This window comes from Homo sapiens, chromosome 5 (assembly GCF_000001405.40).
Source record: "Homo sapiens chromosome 5, GRCh38.p14 Primary Assembly".
Lineage (NCBI taxonomy): Eukaryota > Metazoa > Chordata > Mammalia > Primates > Hominidae > Homo > Homo sapiens.
Genome location: NC_000005.10, coordinates 62052976 through 62076873, shown reverse-complemented (window position 1 = coordinate 62076873; position 23898 = coordinate 62052976). Strand labels below are relative to the sequence as shown.

The window sequence follows — 23898 nt, the reverse complement described above, 5'->3', positions numbered from 1 at the left end:
TGAATATTTTGTAACAAAAGACTAAATTACAAAGGTATTCACCACCAAAAATATTTATATGAAATAATAAAGAGAAAAAAGTAGAAAGGGAAAATAAATTTGTTTAGAAACACTTGAGAGTTTGTTAGGAAATGTAATATTTCTACTACAGCTGTTTAACTTTCCTTAAGGTTAACTTAGACATCAATGTAACCATCCAACGGGTTCACCTTGCCTGCTGCCTAGACAGAGCCTATTTATTAGGACAGGGGAATTTTAAAAGAGAAAGGGTAATTCACGCAGAGCCAGCTGTGCAGGAGACCAGAGTTCTATCATTACTCAAATCAGTCTCCCCAAGAGTTTGGGGATTGAAGTTTTTAAGGATAATTTGGTGGGTAGAGGGGAGCCAGTGAATCAGGAGTCCTAATTGGTCAGGTTGGAGATGAAATTAAGGAGTCGAAGCTGTCCTCTTGGGCTGAGTCAGTTCCTGGTTGGGGGCCACAAGAGCAGATGAGCCAGTTTACTGATCTGGGTGCCAGCTGATCCATCGAGTGTAGGGTCTGCAAAATATCTCAAACACTGATCTTAGGTTTTGCAATAGTGATGTTATCGCCAGGAGCAATTTGGGGAGGGTCAGAATCTTGTAGCTTCTAGCTGTATGACTCCTAAACCATAACTTCTAATCTTCTAGCCAATTTGTCAGTCCAACAAAGGCAGTCTAGTCCCCAGGCAGGAAGGGGTTTTGTTTTGGGAAAGGGCTGTTATCATCTTTGTTTCAAAGCTAAACTATAAACTAAGTTCCTCCCAAAGTTAGTTCAGCCCTACACCCAGGAATGAACAAAGACAGCTTGGAGGTTAGAAGCAAGATGGAGTTGGTTAGGTCAGATCTCTTTCACTGTCTCAGTTATAATTTTGCAATGGTGTTTTCATCAAACTTCTAGATCTTATTTGAGCCCAGTTATTCATAAGATGGAGTAAATGGATAGTTGCTAATTCACCAGTGAATTTAAGCTGTGTAAATAATCAGTATACAAAGTTTGTTTAGGCCACAGATTTTTGCCCCATTATTGATTAAATACCTATTACTGATCAAATTTAAATCTAAAATGGAAATTACCTATTATTGATCAAATAATATTTAATTGATTTATTTTATGTTATTGACTAAATGCAATTAAAATCTAGTATTTGCCTGAATACCTCATAATTGCAAGCTTTCTCATTGATGGTGGGTCCTGAGTTCCAAGGCAGAGATTTCTACTAGGAACTTTATTGATATGGAAAATTCTAGCAACAGAGTTTGCAGAATGGAGACTGCTGCTCTCTTGCTAAAGGACTGTTCTGAATAATGTGTTGTACAAATCTGGGTGTCATAAGGTAAAGTTTTGGACATTGGCAGCAGCAGCAGCTTTTAAAAAAGTATGACCTTCTCAAGCACACCCTAGGTTCCCACAGCATTCTAACTTTCCATGGGGTAATAACAGATGCCCCAATGTGTTTAGCTAGAGTTCCTGCAACCAAGGCAGTAAGAAACAAAGGTGTAATGAGATAATAAGAACTTGGTTTCAGCTATAGCTAGTAGCACTGTACCCCCTGTAGAGAGTAATCTGCATCTTAATGCACCTCACCTGAGACTGTGGCTGTGCCTTTTAAAATGGATCTCAGTGATTGTTATCATTATTGTGCTGCCTTCCTCTGCATACACACACACACACACACACACACACACACACACACGATAAGTAGTACACTGCTCTCTGCATTGGCAGTTTTTAGTGTCATATCCCCATCTTTGGGACCAGGATAATATATCTGGAGATGTAGTAAAGTTTTAGTGACAGTCAGGTTATCTCATTTATTATATGAATTTTCTGTTGCGGCTCTAGGTTATGTAAACCAAAAATAAAATCCTAAGCTCTGCCTTCCCCTCCCCCAACAACTGACTAAACGGACCCCCTCTGGGCCAAGGGGACCCAAGAGAAACCAGGAAAACTGAATCACCCATCATGACAGGAAGGGAGGTCAGACACCCCTCCTTATCCCCCCTCCCTTTTGGAGTTTAGGCACAACTGACCAACATTAACATTAAAATAGAGATCTTAAGACTGACAAAACACACATTGTGGCAATAAGATATCAAATTCCAACATGACTCTGGTATATCATCATATGACAGATAGCAGACCTTGAAGGAAATCAAAATATTTTACCCCCAAATGTATTTCTTTGACATATTCTGAAATGACCCCACAGTTGTCTTTTATGGGGGAAATTTACATCTGCAGAGAATCCCCATTGATACAGCCAGGACTTTTTGGGATCTAGGAGAGATAAACCAAGAGTCTGACACCTTTTAAGGTTTAAGAGAAACATTTACCATTTATTCTCTCTCAGGGTTGCTACCTGGAGGCTTCATCGACATAATAAGAACCTTGGCTTCCACAGCACACCTTAACTCAAGCATTTTTTTTTTTCTACTGACTTCAAGTCTTTGGACAAAGCTCAACTCTCTCAACCAGTTGCCAATCAAAAAATCTTTCAATCCACCTATGACTTATAAGCGTCCACTTTGAGATGTCCTGCCTTCCTGGGTTGAAGCAATGTATTCCTTACATGTACTGGTTTATGTCTTTGCCTGTAACTTCACTCTCCCTAAAATGTATAAAACCAAAATGTAACCTGACCACCTCAGGCACACTTTCTCAGGGCCTCTTCAGACTGTTCCCTGGGCCATGGTCACTTATATTGTCTTAGAATAAACCTTTTTAAATATTTTATGGAGTTTGATTTTTTTTTTGTCAACAGTTCTAAAGCAACAATGGTTTTTAGGCCTTTTGGATAAAAGTGTAAGTGTGCTGTATAAAACAAAAAAAAATTAGGGTAGTGAAGCCTCCAAAACAAGCAGTTATCCAAAAGCTTGTCTGAGTATTGTGAACCCACATAACATACAAAATGAGATTTTAGGAAGGGGAACAAGAGGACATAGGTCCTTAAACAGAGATCATGGAGAGGTTGGATCTTGATGTAGTTCTTTGTCCTCCTGCACCCCTGTTGGTTATGAATTTTTGGATCTGGATTTGTAATTGCCTTCCCCTGGCTTGGGAAGTCCTAATCTGAGTTTAGAGGCCTCATATCCTGAGGGAGCCCTCTCCCTCTACTGTAACCTCAGATCAGCTGATCATCCCATTGAGACCCAACTGGAGTGACCACTGCTCGGGGTAGCCCGTTTCCATTTAGGTTAGTGTGTCCAGAACCTGAAGTAACCTGTCTCATAACTCCCTGCTCAAGTCTTCCAGAGTTGAGCAGATACTTGTTTAATAAAGGGCCTTTGTATTGTATATTGTAGCCTCTAGTCCCAGGATTCTATCACTTTAAACTCTAGTCTCAGAATTGTAGGTGTCAGTTCTAACAATCCATGTGCAAAATCTAGAATGGAATTGTAAAGGACAGTAAAAAAAATCCCAGGACCCCTAGACTCCTTATGCAAAAGGGGAGGTTGATCCTGGAGGCTGAGTTATGCAATATCCTCTTCCAAATGAATAGCTGTTACTAGCATTATTCATTAGCCAGATCCCCACAGAAAGGTAAAAGGCCTCAGTCATCTACAAAGGACTGCCCCCACAAATCATTCATAAGTATATTTGTTGTTGGCCCCACCGCCCCGCCCCTAAACAAGGATATGCCAATTGTAACTTTAGGTTTAAATCTAAGTCTAGCTCCTAAAACTAAAGTCCATTTGTTTCCACACTGATAGTGTGCATTACAAGCTTATTTCCCCAGGTGCAGAACAAAAACAAGATGAGATCAGTCATTCCTTCCCCTACCCAGAGATGTTGGCATAATTGATTCTTCCTTTACTCCCTTTTTTCTCTTCAAACATTCACCTTATTTTATGTAAATTCTGGGCAATAACTAGTCTCACAAGAATGTAACTGTTTGCCTTACTGGCTACCTATCCCTCTTCCTACATATCTTCCCCTCTTTAAGGAAATGTATAAATACTAAACCTCCTGAAAACCTTTTCAGAAAAACAGCCACAGATGTGTCTGTGGCTAGTGTCTTTCCTGGACTCGGCCTAAAGCTAGCTTAATAAACCTTGATTGATTGAGACTTTGCTTCAGTCACTCATTATGGTTATCAGAATTAAAATTGAGTTAGGGTTAGAGTGTTTAGCAGCATGTCTGCCACATAGCAGGTGTTGATTTGAGTATCTGGAGTTGGGCAGAAGTTCTGTATTATGAGTTCAACTTTTCCACCACAGATTGTCCATCATGAGTTCTTATTGACAATTGACTGAGCCTCTTAGGCACCAGGGCAAAGTGTTTTTGATCCTCTCTCAACTCTTTTGTGTGTGTGTGTGTGCATGGAGATTTCACATTAGTTGAACAAATTGGAGAGAGAATGAGTAAGTTGAAACTGTGCCCTCTCATTTTGAGAATTATTTTGGAATTCATTCTTGAATCATAAGTCCCTTTAAAAATTCCAACAGTTTGAAAAGTTTCCAACATTTTGAAAAGTTTCCAACAGTATGAAAAAAACTTATTGAAAGAAATGACGTACCTGACTCTTCATCCACCCATCTGGGGGATCTCTGTTTTCCTCTGCTTTTCTCTTTTTTCATGGCTGTTGAATTAACAAGGTATCAAGCACCCACTATGTGCCTGGCCCTGTGCTGGGCTGAAATACAGTGATGAATGGGACAAATAAACACAACAGACAGTAAACCGCCATGCATGGTGGTAAGTTATAAAGCTGGACTGACAGGGTGAGGTGACAGGGTGATTGTCGGGGATGGGCACAACTTCCCATATGGCGATGGAAAAGACTCTTTCATGGAGGTGCAATCTGAGGTGAGTTCTGCAGCATGAGAAGGAGCCAGCCCTGTGAAAACCAGGGAGATGAATGCTTTCACCAGAGGGGAACAAATGCAGAGGTTTGAGGTAGAAAGTGTGTTCCTCATAGCCGCCAGGCTCCACACTCCTATAAAATCTCTTCTACAAGCCCACGTGAGAGAATGGATGAGAGAAGGCCGGCAAATATCCTTTGGTCACCCGCAAATGCCTGCAGCTGTAATTGGCGGTTCTTACTGATAGATGTGCTTTAAGTGCTGTATATACAGGCTGGGGACTGGGTGATTTTCTTGAAATTTCCCCCCATAGTCAAATTTTTCAAGAACTAAAAATAACAAATTGGCAATCTACCCATGTGTGTTCCTTTGTAGCATCCAAGGACACTACCATAGCATGATGGATAATATTATGAGCTCTCTCAGTTCCTTGATGGGTTGTGTTATAAAAGTGAAGCAAGTTTCATCTTGGTGAAATGCCTAGTGGAGGGAGCAGTATTTCCAGTCCAACTATCGAATTACATTTTTTCTGTTTTTCAGTTCTGTTTATTTCCTTCATGCCCAGCTAAGTACAAACAACATACCCTCTTAGTAAGAATGAAGACCTCTGTTGGTTTGTTGCTGCCACATAAGAGGGAGGGTTGGAGAGGAAGGGGTATTGACATCCATTTTCCCAGTCTTGGCACACAGGCTAGTATGGGAAGTAGATATTTATGGGATGCTATGTGGCTAATGGAAAGAGATGGAGAGCTTTTCGGGCAACACACAACTTCCCCTTGGCCCCCACCCCTACCCCATGAGCTTTCAAAGACATAGACGAAAAGGCCAGGCCAATGCATAATCTTTATTACCATAAGATGTTCAACCAAAAACTGATATGGTCCCCTGGAGAGCCAGACTGGGCCATATGGTAGCCTTTTACTTGCTTCTCATTGCATTTTATTTCTATTCAGCCTGTAATAAGACTGTACTTTTTCTAGTCTATTTGCTAAGGCTGGAGGCAGGCTTTCGTGACTTAACAACACTAGAGTTAGGCTGAGTAGTCTTCTTGGCGTTTTCTTCCCCAGGCCCAAACCCAAACCTCTGTAGTTTTTACTCTCTTGGTGAGAAAGTTCCAAGCAATAGAGAAAGAGAAGGAGCATTTCCATTTAAAGGCCCAGCGTAGAGCTAGTCACATTTGCTCAGCCCGTGCTCCTTCCAGGTGGACAGCTCCTAAGACAGTGGAGTTGGCCCATCTCACCATTTCAGCAGACACAGATTTATTGTGCTACAAATGCAGTTTGAGTTTCAGTGTCCTTCAGTTGTTTGAGCCCCTTCTAAATAAATATTCACTTTCATAGCCAATTTTGAATTTGCAATTTTATATTCTTTTTCTTAAGGTATTCCCCAAACTGTGTAAGATTTAGGTCCCACAAAGCAGGGGCCTGCTCCTGCATACCAGTGTGGCTGCCACATGAAGTCACTGAAGCTCAGCCCCTTGAAGACATGTAGGCACCCGGCGAAAGAGTAAGCTGTGGGTATAACAACAGAATATCTGTAATGCCAGGATTAGGAGTCTGGCAATTTTACTATAGAATCCTTTAAAAAGTATAACATAGAGAAGGATGAATAGTTGCAAAAGTGGTATAGAGAACTTCTGTGTATCTTTCATCCAGATTCCTCCGTTGTTAACATTCTACACATTTGTCTTATCATTCATTCTCTTTCTCTCTTTTTCTTTACACACATACACACATGCATGTACTTTTTTTTTCCCCTTAACCACTTGAGATTGGGTAGCAGAGAAATGATCCATTACCCCTAAACACTTCAGTATGTATTTATTAAACAAAAGACATCCTCTGATGAAGCCACAGTATACCCATCAAAATCAGGAGAACAACACTGATTTTATACCACCATATAATTCAGAGATCCCATTAAAATTCTACCCATTTTTACAACAATATTCTTTACAGGTTGAGAATCCAAACTAGAATCTTGTGTTGCATCTAGTCATCATTTCTTTTAATTTATTTCAACTTGAGACAGTTCTTCAGTCTTCCCTTGCCCTTCAAGGCCTTGATATTTTTGAATTATCCAAGCCCGTTACTTTGTAGAATGTCCCTAAATTTGGGTTTGTCTGATGTTTCCTCAGGATTAGATTAGCATAATGAATTTTTTCCAGAAATACCACAGAAGTGACAGGATACACATGATGATGATTTGTTCTATTGCTGGTGATGTTAACTTTCTTTCACTTGGTTAAAGATACTATCTGCTAGATTTTCTGTTGTAAAATTAACCAGTGTTTTGTGGGGTGCTCTGAGACTAAGTAAATAGCCTGTTCCTCTTCAGATTTTCACACACTTCTTTAAGCATTCATTGATGAATTTTGCCTAAACCAATTATTACTATACTAGTTACCAAATAACAATTTTCTAATTCCATCATTTCTTCTACATTTACTAGTTGACAATCTACTAAAAGGCAGACTTTTTTCTTTACCCCATTTGCTAATGTATATATGTATTTATACTTGTATGGATCCATAGATTGTTATTTTATTCAATGTGGTATAGTCCAATACTATCATTATTTATTTTAATGCCCAATTTGTTCCAGATTTGGCCAGTGATAGCACCTTTAGTTTGACTACTATATCCTTTTAATATGTCCCTATCATGCTTTGAAAACTTCATTATATTCTGGCACAAGGTGTCTGAGGCTTATCTTGTACTTTGCTTGTCCCAGTCCTGGAATTAGCCATTTTTTCCAAGACCATTGGTTCCTTTTAGTGGATAATAGTATTTAAAAACCAAGACCAGAGGGCTAGTTGCACTCATTGTTATGAAGTGTTGCTTCTAGGCCTTCTCAACAGACAGGGAGCTAGAAATAAATGCATGTATGTATGCACACACACACACACACACACACACACACACACACATCTGTAGTTATTTCTACAGTTTTCTATCTCTCTATATAGCTACTTCTAATTTCAATCCCTCATCACATGGTTTGTTCTGGCTTTTCCCTTTTCCATATTTGAAGATAGTGAGAATCCTGTCTCCCACTATCCTTAGTATGTTCATTTGCTTAGTCCCTTGTATGGATCAATCTCCTGATTACATGTGCCATCTCCTCACCCCTGTGCTGCCAACTCACGCTTGTCTACACCAGTTGAGAATTATCATTCTCACCATATACATATAAAAAGTTCCCCTGCTGTGGCCCCAGGGGTACTTAGGCCAAGAGCTACCCCTCTCCTGGGCCTGGGTTTTCACAGATCTACAGTTCCCCACTGTTCCAGCATGTGACTCACACCAGCCTCCCAGGTGGACAGTTCTCCGCCCCCCTGGTTGCACACAGGACTGAAGTTCCCTTCAGCTCCAGTGGTGCATCCAACAAGAAGTGGGATCTCACCTGCCTAAATTCCCCATGGTCTCAGTGGCTCCCAACTGGCCGAGCCAAACTCAGCCCCAGCAGTGTGCTAATTCTGCTAACTCTGCCCAGGCACTGGACAGAGGTTTAAAAACTGAAACTGATCAGTAAGTTAAGGGAATCTGCCCAAGATGTTGTTAAGGAATCCTTTGTTTATCGGGGAAAGGAAATTCAACAGATTATGGTTGAAGGTAATTATGACAGAGAAATACAATCATTTATATTTAAATCTTTGTTTGGTCACTTGCCTTCTCGCTCTCAGATCTATTGCCTGCTCTACGTTATAGGCAAGTATATATCCTGGGCTGCCTTGCCAGCTGGCTTCCAGCTAGGCTTGTCCAATGGGAGGCAGTCAGAAGAGACTGGTAGTTTCCCCGTTCTCTTCTATCTGCAGCAGTGTCTCCATCAGTGGCTATTTCCCCTTTATGATTAGCTTCTGTGTAACAGACTTGTCATGGTTCTAGATTCTTCTGGGTTCCAATCATACCACCTTCTCCTTTTGTTTCCAGCTCCAAGAGTGATAGTGGCTTCCTATACTATGTCTAATTTCTCTATTCCTTCCTTTTTCATTTTCAGTTTCTCTATCACCTGTATAACCAATTTTCTGAATTAAATTCCCTCTGCGTTAAGCACCTAGACTGTTTAATGTTTTCCTAACCTGACCCAGAAAAATGGCCCAACAAGCTGACTCGCCTTACTTGTTATATGAGCCTGGAGCTGTTGTAGCCAACTCTCTCCCATTTGAGAAAACCTGTCTGAGAATGAAACAACACAAAGTTAAATGGAGCCAAAAGATAAAGAACTAGATCTTGGTAACTTCGAATGAGCCGTTGATCAGCCATTACCTAAGGCTAGGATGACCCTTGAACTTTTCAGTTACTTGAATCAATAAAACCACTTTTAAAAAAAGTCCTGGCCAGGCGTGGTGGCTCACGCCTGTAATCCCAGCACTTTGTGAGGCCGAGGCAGGCGGATCACGAGGCCAGGAGATCGAGACCATCCTAGCTAACATGGTGAAATCCCGTCTCTACTAAAAATACAAAAAATTAGCCAGGTGTGGTGGCGGGCACCTGTAGTCCCAGCTACTTGGGAGGCTGAGGCAGGAGAATGGTGTGAACCTGGGAGGCGGAGCTTGCAGTGAGCCGAGATCATACCACTGCACTCCAGCCTGGGCAGCAGAGCGAGACTCCATCTCATATTTTTTAAAAAAAGGTCCTAATTGTTACATCTGTACATCTGTGTTTCAGCATCATGACTGTTGAACTACGTACAAATTATAGATCATTAACTCCTTGATCCATGAAGGTGACTTAAGTTCTATTTGAAAGTCACATTTCCCAACAGGGCTTATCTCCTTGGTGTGATTTACTTATGTGTATTCTTAAAAGAGGAGATTTTCTTACAGCTTCTGCCTTTTATTGGTCTTTCTGTCTTCTAATGTGTGACTCCTCTTTTCTAAGCTGCCACATTCTGACAGGGTCTCATATATCCACTATATCAGTGGAAGGGACAAAATAAAAAATTTATGTCATCTACATGACAGACCTGAAAAACTAGCCTCTCATTTAAATATTGCAAAGAATTGAGTTATATGCTACATAAGTGACAGGAGAATGGGGCTGTTAATCTATGTGAAAGGAAATTGGATTCAAGTTGTTTTATCTCTTGCAGATGTTCAACATTATTTTTGTCAGCTAGTAGTTAAGTTGAAGAGAGACATCTTTCTCAGAATAGAAACATGAAATAATAATGTCCTCCAGCATCATCTCATCATGTTAAGCTATGAGATGGATGATATCCTGATGTGAAAAGATGCAAATGATACTGAGTTTTGAAGTATTTGTTGGGAGTGGGAGAGAGGCTAAAGTTTTGTTCTATAATATACTGCTTCTGCATGAAAAAAATGAAGAATCCATAGACACTTTGTTTAAAAAATGGGATTCTAAGCCACAGTTTCCTAAGAGGTTTATTTTGGACAAGAATTCAGTAAGATTTGGGTTTAACATGTCCCTGTGGAAAGTTGGCACTAGCATGGGTTAGGACCCAATGCCCTTGGAGGCTCAGCTCAGGGTCCTTGCTTAGGGTTGCTCTATCTTATGCATGACCTGAGGGATGTAGGCATCCTAGGTTAGTTGATCATGGATATACTGAGGCCTCTGGCTTTCCTCATCCCCTTCAGCAGTTGTGCTGGCTTCTGTCACCTGCCATGGGTCTGTTTGTTGCCCTCTGTGGCTCTTGGATGTCTTACCTGAATCATTATATACCTTCTGTCTGCAAACTAACCCCTACTCTGAGTTAATCCAGACAAGTAGGGAATGTATCTTACCAGCCTCAGACCACTGAGCTCTGTGGTTAGATGTGCTGCTTGAGACCTGGTAGGTGGTGGCTGGAGGGACATTACAGAGCACCTTGAGCTCAGGAATGGTGGCTTCCTGTTAAAGAGTGGGTTACTGTCTCAGTTCCCCTCTCTGGTACTGTACTATATAAACTGAGACTGGAATCCCGTTCAACTTGGCTGGGGTTTTGATGTCCTAGGGGAGAGAGGTAGATTCTGCTCCCTCTACCAGCCTCCACAGATGTTTTCAGAGCACCAGGCATAGATCTGGATCGATTTCCTCAGGCCCCAGGTGGCCTTGCCCAGCCTGCCCTTGTTGCTCTGCTTTTCCAGCCTTCCTGTGTGTTGTGTGTCAGCATGCCATACATCCACTCCATGACAGTTCTCATGAGTGCCTCAGGACTTGTGGTCATCCCTGGACCACACACAAGGTTTAGTCTATAACCTATGAATGAGTTAGTCCACTTCCACTCTAATTCCCACTCTTCATTAGCACATGCGAAAATGTTAGAGGATCTTTACATAAGTAAAATTATTATTATAATCATAAAAATGCCATTTATAATATATATTCCAAATAAAGCTATAGTAACACTTAAAAATGTGTTAACGAAAAGCAGGAGTTACTTTGTTTAAATCTTATTGTACAGGGGCATTTATAAAGCTTCCCCAAAAATACAACAGGACTAGCTCATGTATTATCTAGAACCTGTGTGTGCACACACACCCTTCTCCTATGTTTATACATATGTTTACTATTCTGAGCACTTATATGCTGAGCACTTTATATAAATTATCTTCTGTCTTAGATCAGGTTTCCCAGAAAGCTAAGCAGAACCTGAGGCAATAAATAAAGCCCTGATGATTTATTTGGAAAGTACAAACCCAAGGCAGCAAAAGTATAAAAAAATAAAAAACAAACGTAAAGTGAGGGAGAGAAGATGAGAAGCAATGCAGAGTTCTGTACTGATGAGTGCTTTGTAATCGCCATAGAGAACTGGGGCAGGACACACCACAGGGGTGATGCAAGATTGTGTGGGCTTTTCCAGGAAGAGTCTACAGACTCATGTCTCAGAGTAGTTGATTAGAGTGTGGAAGGTCGGGACATTGCTGTATCCTTCCCATCTCCTTTTTCGTATGGGTCAAAGTTTGTCTGACTGAAGGTTAATTCTCTTGCACTTTTGCAGCTGCTGGAACATGAGATCCCAGGCCCTGTAGTGGTGTGTTTCATTCAAATCTGAAAATGGCAGCACAATTGAGCAATTCCTGGCATGTGGCTACTTGGCCCAGTTGTGCAGCTGTAGCCCAGGGGGAGGCTTTCCAAGGGCAAGTAACTGCTGGGTCCCCATTGAAGCAGTGTGGCTTGGGAGGCTACCAGGCAGAGGGTATCTAAGGAGGTGCATAACATCTGTGGTGGTTGTATCTACTTGGGATGCACAACAACCCTGAGAGGTGAGTCTTATGTTTCCCACTTTATAGCTGAGGAAACAGGCTGTTTGCCCAAGATCTCATAGCAGTGAGCAGCTAAGCCAGAGTTTGAACTCAAATCGGTTTGCTTTCAAACTGATTTGAGTTTTCTGTCCAGCATGCTACATAGATTCTCCTGTAGGCTTTAATTCAAACAAACAAACAAACAAACAAACAAATAACAAAAAAAGTCAGTGAAAGTAACACATAGTTCTTGCAGAAAATATAAAAAACAAAATAATCATCCACAATCTGTAGACCCAGAAATAATCATTACAATTTTTCTAGCATATAATCTTTCAGTTTTTCTGTAATATTTTTTCATAGTTAAGATAATGCAAATACTATAGCTTATTATGCTCTTGTCATTGATTACTATTTCAAGAGTATTATCCTATGTCATATAAACTTTTATGCCTCTATACCCAGATATAGTTTTATATACTTTGGAAGCAGCAGGTCTGTGATCCATTTGTTTCCTTTGCTGGGGTGGCAGTATGTTCCGAGGTAAGAAAGAAGGCAAGTAAACTGGTTTAATCTTGTAAAGACACTGATGACAGACCTCCTGGCCAACTACATGTTTTTTGCTAGCAGGAAAGTCCTTATCCATGGAATGCTTTTAACAGAATGTGCTTTGGTGTATAGGATTTCTTAGGTAGACAAGCCTAGAATCTACAAATTTATGGGGCATGGCTCTCAGGAAAATGTGATGTAAATTATGTAAATATCTGAGTATAAAATAGAGATGTTTCAGATGTTCCTGAACTAAGCAGCCCCTTCTGGGTAAGTAAGGTGGCTGATACCATTCTTAGAGGCCTCATCAATTGTCTTGGGCCAGAGTACCTCAGATGCAGGAAGAAGAGACCCAGGGAGTGCCACCAGGGCTTCTAGACCTCTCCCTGCTGTAACCTATGTCTCCTTATTGTACGCATCCTTGAAATTACTAGTAAAGCTTGGTACTGAGTAAGATCTCTGATGTGTGTGAGTCTTATTTGACAATCTGATCTTCGTTGTGTTGTGTGCTACCTCAATTCACTGTCATTTCCTCATTGATTACGTTTTAATTATATATAAATATTTCATAACTTTAAATACATCTGTGATACACAACTCTGACCAAATCATTGTCTATGCTTTATGTCATTTCTTTTGAATTATTCCAAGAGAAGGACTTGCTATACTTTTTCAGGGCTACAAGAGGGAAACCTCTGTAAGAATCTTTTGCCCTACCTCCTGTTCTTGCTACTGCAAGGAGAAACAGAGGGATCAAAAGAAAAACAGGAAAAAAAGGAGAAAGAAATGTGAGCAATAGGAAAAAATCCCTTTACCATCATCATCACCAGACTTTTTTGCCAGCCTAGGTTCATTCTTCATTCTCAGTTCATTTTTCCCTTTTGCACTCGGCTATTCCTAGCTCTTGCCCTCGAAACCCCATTCTTGCTTCAGACTCCAGCCTCCTGGAAGCCCAACCAAGCTTTCTCTGCTTCTTCCTACAATGAGAAACTTCTGCCTAGCTGCTGGGGACACCTCCCCTCCAGCAGATTGATGTTTCAGCAGAAAGATACATTCCCAGCATTCTGAATTGGGACTGGTGGTTTTGTAGTACACCCAGGGTTCTTAATCCAAGGCTCATGGAGAGAATTCAGGGAGGGGGGTCAATGAACTTGGAGGGGAAAAATGACATGTCTATATTCACTAGTCTCTAACCAAAATTTATCAGATCTTTCAGTTATAAATGTAAGCAAAGAAAAAAAAAAACCCACGGTAGTATTAGCAGTACCTGTAATCTTGTCAACGATAGAAATCAATTCTTTTCATATACATTATTATTGTTGCAAATATCTTGAAAAATTATTTACATTCCATGCTTCTTAGAAATCATGTTATTAGGGAGGGATAGCATTAGGAGATATACCTAATGTAAATGACGAGTTAATGGGTGCAGCACACCAACATGGCACATGTATACATATGTAACAAACCTGCAGGTTGTGCACATGTACCCTAGAACTTAAAGTATAATAATAATAAAAAAGAAATTATGTTATTAAACCTGTTGCTAGGTTTATGTAACATGTTAATGTGTAAACATGTTATTTAACATGTTGCTAAAGAAAACACATTGCTGAATCACAAAAAATATTTTGATAACTGTATTTTTAAAAATTAGTTTACTCTGTTGTCCTATGTTTTTATTTTGTTGATTTAAACACATCATTATGAGAAGGGGTTCATAGCTTCATCAGACTGCCAAATGTGTCCATGGCAAAGAAACGGTCAAGAAGTCTTAGAAGTGGAATACAGTCTAGCACTTCACTAGTGTGCATTATATGATATGTTAAATAGCCATTGAAAAACTGGCCTGACTCTTGCCTTTCAGTGATTAACATAATCATGTCACTAGATGCATAAATAGTGCTTAGGCAAGCACTGACATAGGCTGCTGTACAGGTGTAAACAACAGGCTACTTGGTTTCAGGGACACAGAATTAATCACAGCTTGGTGCATCTGAGAAGATTCCTAGAAGGAGTAACATTTGAGGTGGGCCCAGCTCAGCTTAAAGCAGCTGAGGAGGTGAACTGGGCTGCCCACACCTCTGCATGAGAAGATCACAGTCACTCTGCCAAGCTCTACTCCTCTGAAAAATACCTGATTGAAGCAAGCTGCAATAGCCATGGGCTTTCCTTTCCTGAAAATTCAGGAAGGGCTCCTCTGCTAATGTGTTTTTCCTATCCTTTAATAAGGATAGTAGCTTGTTCTTTCATGTATTCATATTTTCCTGTAGGCAAGGAATAGCATCTGATGTAGTAGAACATAAGCCTAGGGATCCTAGTTGGTCTGGGTTCTTACCTTTCCTTGGGTTATTGATAAACTGAATTATTGGACATGATGATCTTCATCATCTTATCATTGTCCTAGCGACTTTGACTTTTAGGAATTTTTGAATCTTGGATAAGAAATGGCATTCAATAAGTGAAATGTTTCATTTCCATTGAGGAAGTTATAATGTCCCTCCATCCTCCTAATTCCAACGTATTTATGAAATGGAAAACTGGCCATGAGAAGCATGGCATATAATTCTCCCTCCTCTGCCTGACCCCAACCTTTCTAAGTGTACTTCTAGGAAGTATAAACTGGCATGGAAAATTCCACCCATTCGATTTCTTATAAGTTGAAGAAAAGTCAGAGGTACAAATTGGGGAGGGAGATCTGGGGAATGCTTTGAACTGCATTAGCCAATATTAAGCAATAGGATGCCTCTGATGTCATCTGCAGAGGGGCCTAGTTTGGTTGGCTTTCTTCTAAGCCTGCTACATGTATACTGCTTCTACTCCTCCAATCTTTGATGCAGTGACTGAGCTGTGCTGTGGGCAGACAGAGAGCATTGTCTATATGTATGAATTCCTCAGTGTAATGCTTTCATTTCACTCTTTTTTATTCCTAAAAAAAGGCTAAAACTTTGTATGAGAATGCAGTTTTATGTGTTGCTGAGATATGTTAGGGATGGGGATGGCACACTAAAACTGATAGTCACTAAAGTCATTATTTTCCCTGCCTTCATTCCTCTTCTACATTCTGTACCTTGCCTCTTAGGTCACTCATTTCCAGATACAGTTGTCAGTATTCTTCTCTTTAAAAAGCTTCAATGGACGCTCTAAACTTTAGGTTGAGGGAAATCCTCAGAGGTGAAGTAAAGAGAGCAATGTCCATTAGAAGTTTCTGTCGGTGTAAAACTTAGGGGAGCAGTGCCCAAGGCACAGGATAGGAAGATTTAGCATGTCACCCACACCACATTTTCTTCAGCAAAATCACGCATGAACCAGCAAGCCATTCAAAGAATGGAGCCCTATGGAGAGACTCTGCCAAATAATAATTATTATTGTTATGATAATTATAATTATACCAAGGAGAAGAAAAAAGAATGGAATGGGAAGGAGATAAACAAATTTTAAAAGGCTGGTTGTAAAGCATGCCACAAGAGGAATTGCCTATAGAATTAAAGAAAAGGTACAGATAAGTTTTTCTATAGAGTCTCAAAGAAATTGTCCATAACAAAAATTATAGCCAGAGAAAAATATTTCAACGAAGAAATAGAAAGATTCAGAGAAAAATGGAAAGGCAAGAGAAAAAGATGGGCAATGAACTAAGACAAATAGAAGGAAAAACAATACAGAAAGAATAAATTTGACTGATAATACAGTTATGTATATAGCAGCAGGTTTGACAACACCCAAAATGAAATGGAAAAAAAACAAAGACATACAAAGATTATAGACAAAGTACTGGATATGGAAGAAACACAAAGGAAATCCAATATGAATGAGTTGACATTTCTGAGAAAGAGAATGAAACAGATGGAACAGAAATGATTTCAATTATATAAAAGATGACATTTCTTGCAATAAAAAGTTGAATCAGCACAATGAAGGGTAACAGCATGAGCCAGTAAAGATCGATAGAACACAATGAACACCAAGTCATATCCTGAAAAGTTACTGAATACAAGATAAAGATTTATGTGGTATGAAGAAAAGAAATTATACCACAAATAAGGGGAAAGTCTGGCTGACGTCAGGCTTCTTCACAGCAGTGTTCAATGCCAAAAGATGGTGAAGAAATGCCAGCAATGTTCTGAAGAAAACAAAGTGTTATGAATTAATTTATTAACCATGCAAGTTCAAACGTGAAGGCAACAGATATCTCAGCAATGCAAGTACTTAGGCAATGGAGTACATAGAAGTCCTCAGAAAAAAGAAATCCAGTGGATCAAGAGATGATACAAAATAAATATAACCAGATTATTGACTAGTTTGAGCTTGCAATTTCCAAGGACAAAATCTTTCCTCACATTCTTCAAAACTGTCTTCAACTGTCCCAGTCAAATCTTTCTTTCTTGTTCTTTTAAGAATATCTTGGTCTGATCCTACCACTTTTCCAATAACTTCAATTATCCAAAATCCCGTGGAGTTTCTTCAATCTCATATATTCAATTTAACTCTCATTTTCTTTCTTCTTACTCTAAGGTTTGGCACTCATGGCAAAGGTTCTTTTTCCTTCTTTCCTTTTCCTTCTTGTGTCTTCCTTCCCTTGTACATTCTTTTTTTCTGAGTCTCTTTCTCCTCTAGTGTGTTGTGGTGAGAAGGAAAGATGGAGGAAATGGGGTGAACATCACTTAGGCAGTGGCTTTGGATGTCTTTTAGGTTGCTATTGCCTTTGATTCACTCTGTGTGACTGAGGTCCACATGCTGGCATTCTGGAGAGGTGCATGTGTGGATTTTTGGGGAAGGTCCTTTAAGGACCTCCTCCTGCACAGACAAATGATGCTCTGGCAAGACCTCTTCTGATTTCAGCTGAGCTACTACCTCTGGTGGTCTACTCCACAGCCTCTTGCTTCTGGAATTCTTTTGCCTGGCAGGCTGTCCCTTTAGACAGGGTACTACTGAGATGGCACAAACTGACTACTTCATGGGCTGACTCCTAGAAAACTCATGAATCTTGCTACTTAAATCTCTGGAGTACAAGTTGCTGCAGCACCACCTGAGCTTTCTGCCTTGCTTTCTTTTTCCAGATCTCTTTTTCTCAACCTCAGTTAGACCCAGAGCAGAAGATCAGCAAGTGCACAGTAGAAGTAGATGCTCAAAAGGGAATAAGAGGCTTGTTTCAGATTTTTTCAGGCATCACAAATATCTATCTATGATTCTTGCATCATCCCCTACTTTGGCTTCCTGCTTATGTGTGTATCTGGGGCTGAGTGTTGAGGAGAAAGAGCACAATACAATCCTCCTAGCTGATCCCACAATCTTCCTTGAGTTCTTTATCTTTGGCATATGTAGACTGGAGCAAGAGACTGGGGCAGGGCTGGAACTGCCATCTCTCTTGTCAGTGCTAGAGGGAGTATCTGGGTTCCTTGGTACAGTAATTCTCTTTAGAATGTGGGAGTATTTCATATTGTTGTACAATTTGGAGGCTTTTCTAACTCTGAGATAGCAGGACACATCCCATTGAACATCGGCTTCATGAACACAGCAATAAATAGAGAAGTGTGGTAAAGGACATGCAGTGATATAGTTTGGATCTGTGACCCCACTCAAATCTCATATTGAAATGTAACCCCTAATGTTGATGGTGGGGACTAGTGGGAGGTGATTGGATCATGGGGATGGATTTCTCATGAATGGCTTAACGTCATCCCTCGTAGTGCTGTCCTTGTGATAGTGAGTGAGTGCTCATGAGATCTGGTCTTTTAAAAATGTGTAGCACCTCCCCCTTTGCTCTCTTGTGCCTTCTTTCACCATGTGATTTCACAGCTCCCCCTTTGCCTTCTGCTACAATTGGAAGCTTCCTGAGGCTTCCCTAGAAGCAGATGTTGCTATGCTTCCTGTACAGCTGGCAGAACCAAAAGCAAATTAAACCTCTTTTTAAAAAATAAATTATCCAGTCTTAGGTATTTCTTTATAGCAATGCGAGATCATACTAATACACGGGGTGAACCTGAATTTATTTTATTAGGTTACTAATTGTTGGAATTAGAGTTACAGAATAAAATGTAAGGGTTTAAAATCTTGAAAATATAAAAATAATGGGTAACCAGTTTTGGGAGTTGGAGGTAAGGAATGTGGAAGGGATCAAAAGCATCAGTTTTTTTCATTTTTCGTGGCATGGAGTCAAGAGATAATTGTTCAGAATTAAATTGTATGATTGAGAATTATGGTTTCAATCTATCAGTGTTTTCTCTCCTTAATTCTACTTTTAAAAATCTCAGAGTAGTGGTTCTTAATCAGAGACAATTTTGCTCCACCTTCCCCAGGGGACATTTGGCCTCGCTGGAGACATTTTAGTTGTTACGCTGAGGGAAGATGGTGTTTCTACTAGTGTCTAGTGGGTAGAGGCCAGAGATGCAGCTAAAAATCCTATGAAGGGATTAACAGCCCCACCAAAGTGGCATGATAATCATGTTACATGAAAACATCTGAACATTCAGTAGCTACAGAAACATGAAGCAGAGCCTCCTGAAAATATAACTGCCATTGGCCCCTCTCAGAGGAAGTTGCCTGTTTGTGAGAGAACTTATCCTTAGCACTGAAAGTGAAAACTCAGCTGCGATTAGCATCAGAAAGCCCAACAGAGTTTAAAATAATGGGTTATAAGATGTTATTTGCAAACCTCTTGGTAGCCTCAAATCTAAAAACCTACAACAGATAACAAATAAATAAAAAATGAGAAATTAAAACATACCATTGGAGAAAACCACCTTGACAAAGGAAGACAGAAAAGAAGAAGAAAGGAAGAGACCAAAAAACAATTAGGAAATAAATAACAAAATGGCAGCAGTAAGTCCTTACTTATAAGCAGTAACATTGAATATAAATAGACCAAATTCCCCAATCAAAAGACACAGAGTGCCTGAATAGATTAAAAAATAAGACCCATTGATCTGTCGTCTACAAGAAACACACTTCACCTAGAAAGACACACATAGACTAAAAGAAAAAGATACTTTATGCAAATGGAAACAGAAAAAAGCAGGAGTAGCTATACTTATATCAGACAAAATAGGTTTTAAGACAAAAAGTATAAAAAGAGACAAAGAAGGTCGTTATATAATGATGAAGGGGTCAATTCAGCAAGAGAATATAACAATTATAAATATATATGCACCCAATACTGGAACACCCAGATATCTAAGGCAAATATTATTAGAGCTAAAGACAGAGATAGACTCCAATACAATAATAGCTGGAGACTTCTACACCCCACTTTCAGCAATGGACAGATCAGCCAGGCAGAAAATCAACAAAGGAACATTGAACGTAATCTGCACTATAGACCAAATGGATCTAATAGATATTTACAGAACATTTTATCCAACAGCTACAGAATGTACGTCTTCTCAGGACATGGATTATTCTCAAGAATATATCGTATGTTAGGCCACAAAACAAGTCTTAAAAAATTCAAAAGAACTGTAATTATATCAAGTATCTTCTCTGACTACAATGGAATGAAACCAGAAATTAATTATAAGAGAAATTTTGGAAACTGTACAAACACATGGAAATTAAACAATATGCTCCAGAACGAATAGCAGGTCAATGAAGAAATTAAGAAGAAAATTTAAAAAGTCTCAAAAAAAAATGAAACCCCAAATACAATATACCAAAACCTATGAGACACAGCAAAAGCAATACTAAGAGGAAAGTTTGTGGCAATAAGCACCTACAAGAAAAACCAAACCAAACCAAAAAAAAAAAAAAAAACCAAAAAAACAAAAAACCTAAAAATACTTCAAATAAACAGCCCAATGATGCTTCTTAAAGAATTAGGAAAGCAAGAGCAAACCGAAACTGAAATTAGCAGAAGAAAAGAAATAATAAATATCAGATGAAAAGTAAATAAAATTGAAACAAAAAATAATACAAAACATCAATGAAACAAAAAGTTGGTTATTTGGAAACATAAAATCAACAACTTTTAGCCAGACTACCTAAAAAAAAAAGAAAGAAGACTCAGATAAATAAAATCAGAGCTAAAAAAGGAGACATTACAGCTGATACCACAGAAATTCAAAGGACCATTGGCAACTACTATGAGCAACTGTATGTCGATAAATTGGAAAATCTTGAAGAAATGGATAAATTTCTGGAAACATACAACTACCAAGATTGAACCATGAAGAAATCCAATATCTGAATGGATCAATATCTGAATAGATATAAAAGCTGTAATAAAAAGTCTCCCAGCAAAGTAAAGCCTGTGACCTAATGGCTTCACTGCTGAATTTTGCCAGACATTTAAAGAAGAGCTAATAGTAATTCTACCCAAATTATCCCAAAACATAGAGGGGTAGGGAACACCTTCAAATTCATTCTATGAGGCCAGTACTACTCTGATACCAAAACCAGACAAAGAAACATTAAAAAAAAAAAGCTATAGGCCAACTTCTCTAATGAATATTGATGCAAAAATCCTCAACAAAATACTAGCAAACTGAACTTGACAACACATTAAAAAGATCATTAGTCATGACTAAGTGGGATTTATCCAAGGGGTGCAAGGATGGTTCAATATATGCAAATCAATCAATTTGACACATCATATCAATAAATGAAAGACAAAAATGATATGATCATTTCAATTGATGCTGACAAAGCATTTGGTAAAATTCAACATCCCTTCATGATAAAAACACTAAAAATCTGGGTATAGAGGGAACATACCTCAACACAAGAAAAGCCATGTACAACAGACCCCCAGCTAGTATCATACTGAATGGGGAAAAACTAAAAGCCTTTCCTCCAAGATCTGGAACACAACAAAGATGCTTACTGTCACCACTGTTATTCAACACAGTACTGTAAGTCCCAGCTAGAGCAATCAGATGAGAAAAAGAAAGGGTATCTGAATTGGAAAGGAAGAAGTCAAATTATCCTTGTTTACAGATGATATGACATTATATTAGGAAAAATCTAAAGACTCCACCAAAAAACTATTAGAGCTAATAAACAAATTCAGTAAAGTTGCAGGATGCGAAATCAGTATTCAAAAAGCAGCAGCATTTCTGTATGCCAACATTGAACAATCTGGAAAAAAATAAAGAAACGAATCCCATTTACAATAGGTACAAATAAAATATGATAACTAGGAATAAACTTAACCAAAGAAGTGAAAGATCTCTGCAATGAAAATAATGATGCAAGAAATTGAAGAGGACACAAAAAATGCAATGATATTCCATGTTCATGGATGGGAAGAACCAATATTATTAAAATGCCCATACTACTTGTAGCAATCTACAGATTTAAGGCAATCCCTATCAAAATACCAATAACATTCTTCACAGAAATAGAAAAAAATCCTAAAATTTACATCAAACCACAAAAGACCCAGAATAGTGAAACCTATGCTGAGCTAAAAGCATAAGGCTAGAGGAATCATATTACCTGACTTCCAGTTGTGCTACAGAGCTATAGTAACCAAAACAGCATGGTACTGGCATAGAAACAGATACATAAACCAATAGAACAGAATAGAGAACGCAAAAATAAATCCATACATCTACAGTGAACTCATTTTTGACAAAGGTGCCAAGAACATACATTGTAGAAAGGATAGTCTCTTAAATAAGTGGTACTGGGAAAACTGGATATGCATATGCAGAAGAATGAAATTATGTGGCCCTATCTCTCATCATATACAAAATCAAATAAAAAAATGGATTAAAGACTTAAATCTAAGACTTGAAGACTATGAAACAACATAAAGAAAAAATTGGGAAACTCTCTAGCACATTGGTTTGGGCAAAGATTTTTTGAATAATACCCCAAAAGCACAGGCAACCAAAACAAAAATGAACAAATAAGATTACATAAAGTTTAAAACCTTCTGCACAGCAAAGGAAACAATGAACAAAGTGAACTGACAACCACATAATAGGAAAAAAATTTGCAAACTATCCATCTGACAAAGGATTAATAACCAGAGTATATAAGGAGCTCAGACAACTCAGTAGGAAAAAATCTAATAATCTGATTAACACATTTGCAAAAGATCTGAATAGACACTTCTTAGAAGAAGACATACAAATGGCAAACAGACATATAAAAGGTACACAACATCACTGATCCTCAGAGAAATGCAAACCAAAACTGCAGTGAGATATTATCTCAACTCACTAACAATGGCTTTTTTCCCCCACAGAAGATAGGCAATAACAAATGCTGGCAAGGATGTGGAGTAAAGGGAATGCTCGTACACTGTTGGTAGGAATGTAAATTAGTACAGCTTCTATGGAGAACAGTATGGAAGTTCCTCAAGAAACTAAACATAGAATGGCCATATGATCCAGCAACTCCACTACTGGGTATTTATCCAAAGGAAAGGAAATCAGTATATCAAAGAGATATCTGCTGTCCCATGTTTATTGCCACACTGTTTACATAGCTAAGATTTGGAAGTAACCTAAGTGTCCATCAACAGATGAATCGATAAAGAAAATGTGGTACATATACACAATGGAGTACTATTCAGCCATACAAAGGAATGAGATCCTGTCATTTGCAACAACATGGATGGAACTATTACGTGAAATAATGTTAAGTGAATTAAGCCTGGCACAGAACGACAAACTTTGCATGTTCTCATTCATTTGTGGGATGCAAAATTTAAACAATCGAACTCATAGAGATAGAGAGTAGAAATATGGCTACCAGAGGCTGGTAAGGGTAGTAGGGAGCAAGGGGAGCAGAGATGATTAATGAGTATGAAATACAGTTAGATAGAATGAATAAGATCAAGTATGTGGTGCCACAACAGGGTGACTACAGTCAACAATAATTATTGTACATTTTAAAATAACTAAAAAGGTATAATTGGAATGTTTGCAACACAAAGAAATGATAAATTCTTGAGGTGATGGATACTCCATTTACCCTGATGTAATTATTACATATTGTCTGCCTGTATCAAAATATCATATGTAACCCATAAATATATACACATGTTATGTACCCATAAGAATTAAAAATTAAAAAAAATTTAAAAGCCCAATAGAACCTTCCATACTTCACTGTGGAAGCTCCCCTCCCTTTTTGTTAAGCTGGTATATAAGCTTTTACTTCTGGCTATGCAGTGAATTACTGTTTATTGAGTGCTCCTGGGTGCATCTATAAATAAACCTAGTTTTCTCTTGTGAGTCTATCTATTGTCACTGAATATGCAGACTCCTGAATAGTTGAACCTAAGTAGGTAGAGGAAAAGTTTTCCTCCCAATGCCTACAATGCACAGGAAAGCCCCTTCCACAACAAATAGGCAAGTCTTAAATATTAAAATAATTTGTTGATCTGTCA

General features: G+C 38.8%; 1 long non-coding RNA gene across 1 annotated transcript in view, besides 1 other annotated feature; it reads left to right on the top strand.

Moving 5' to 3' along the window:
* The window catches only part of LOC124900610 (uncharacterized), a 170779-nt gene that overhangs the window by 60734 nt on the left and 86147 nt on the right, over nucleotides 1–23898 (top strand). The window lies entirely within an intron of this gene.
* Nucleotides 1262–2229: an enhancer, noted in NCBI's record as "OCT4-NANOG hESC enhancer chr5:61370472-61371439 (GRCh37/hg19 assembly coordinates)". NCBI's record gives its function as "activates a minimal SCP1, AML or CMV promoter by ChIP-STARR-seq in naive H9 embryonic stem cells {active_cell/tissue: H9 hESC(naive)}" and the evidence as "EXISTENCE:reporter gene assay evidence [ECO:0000049][PMID:30033119]".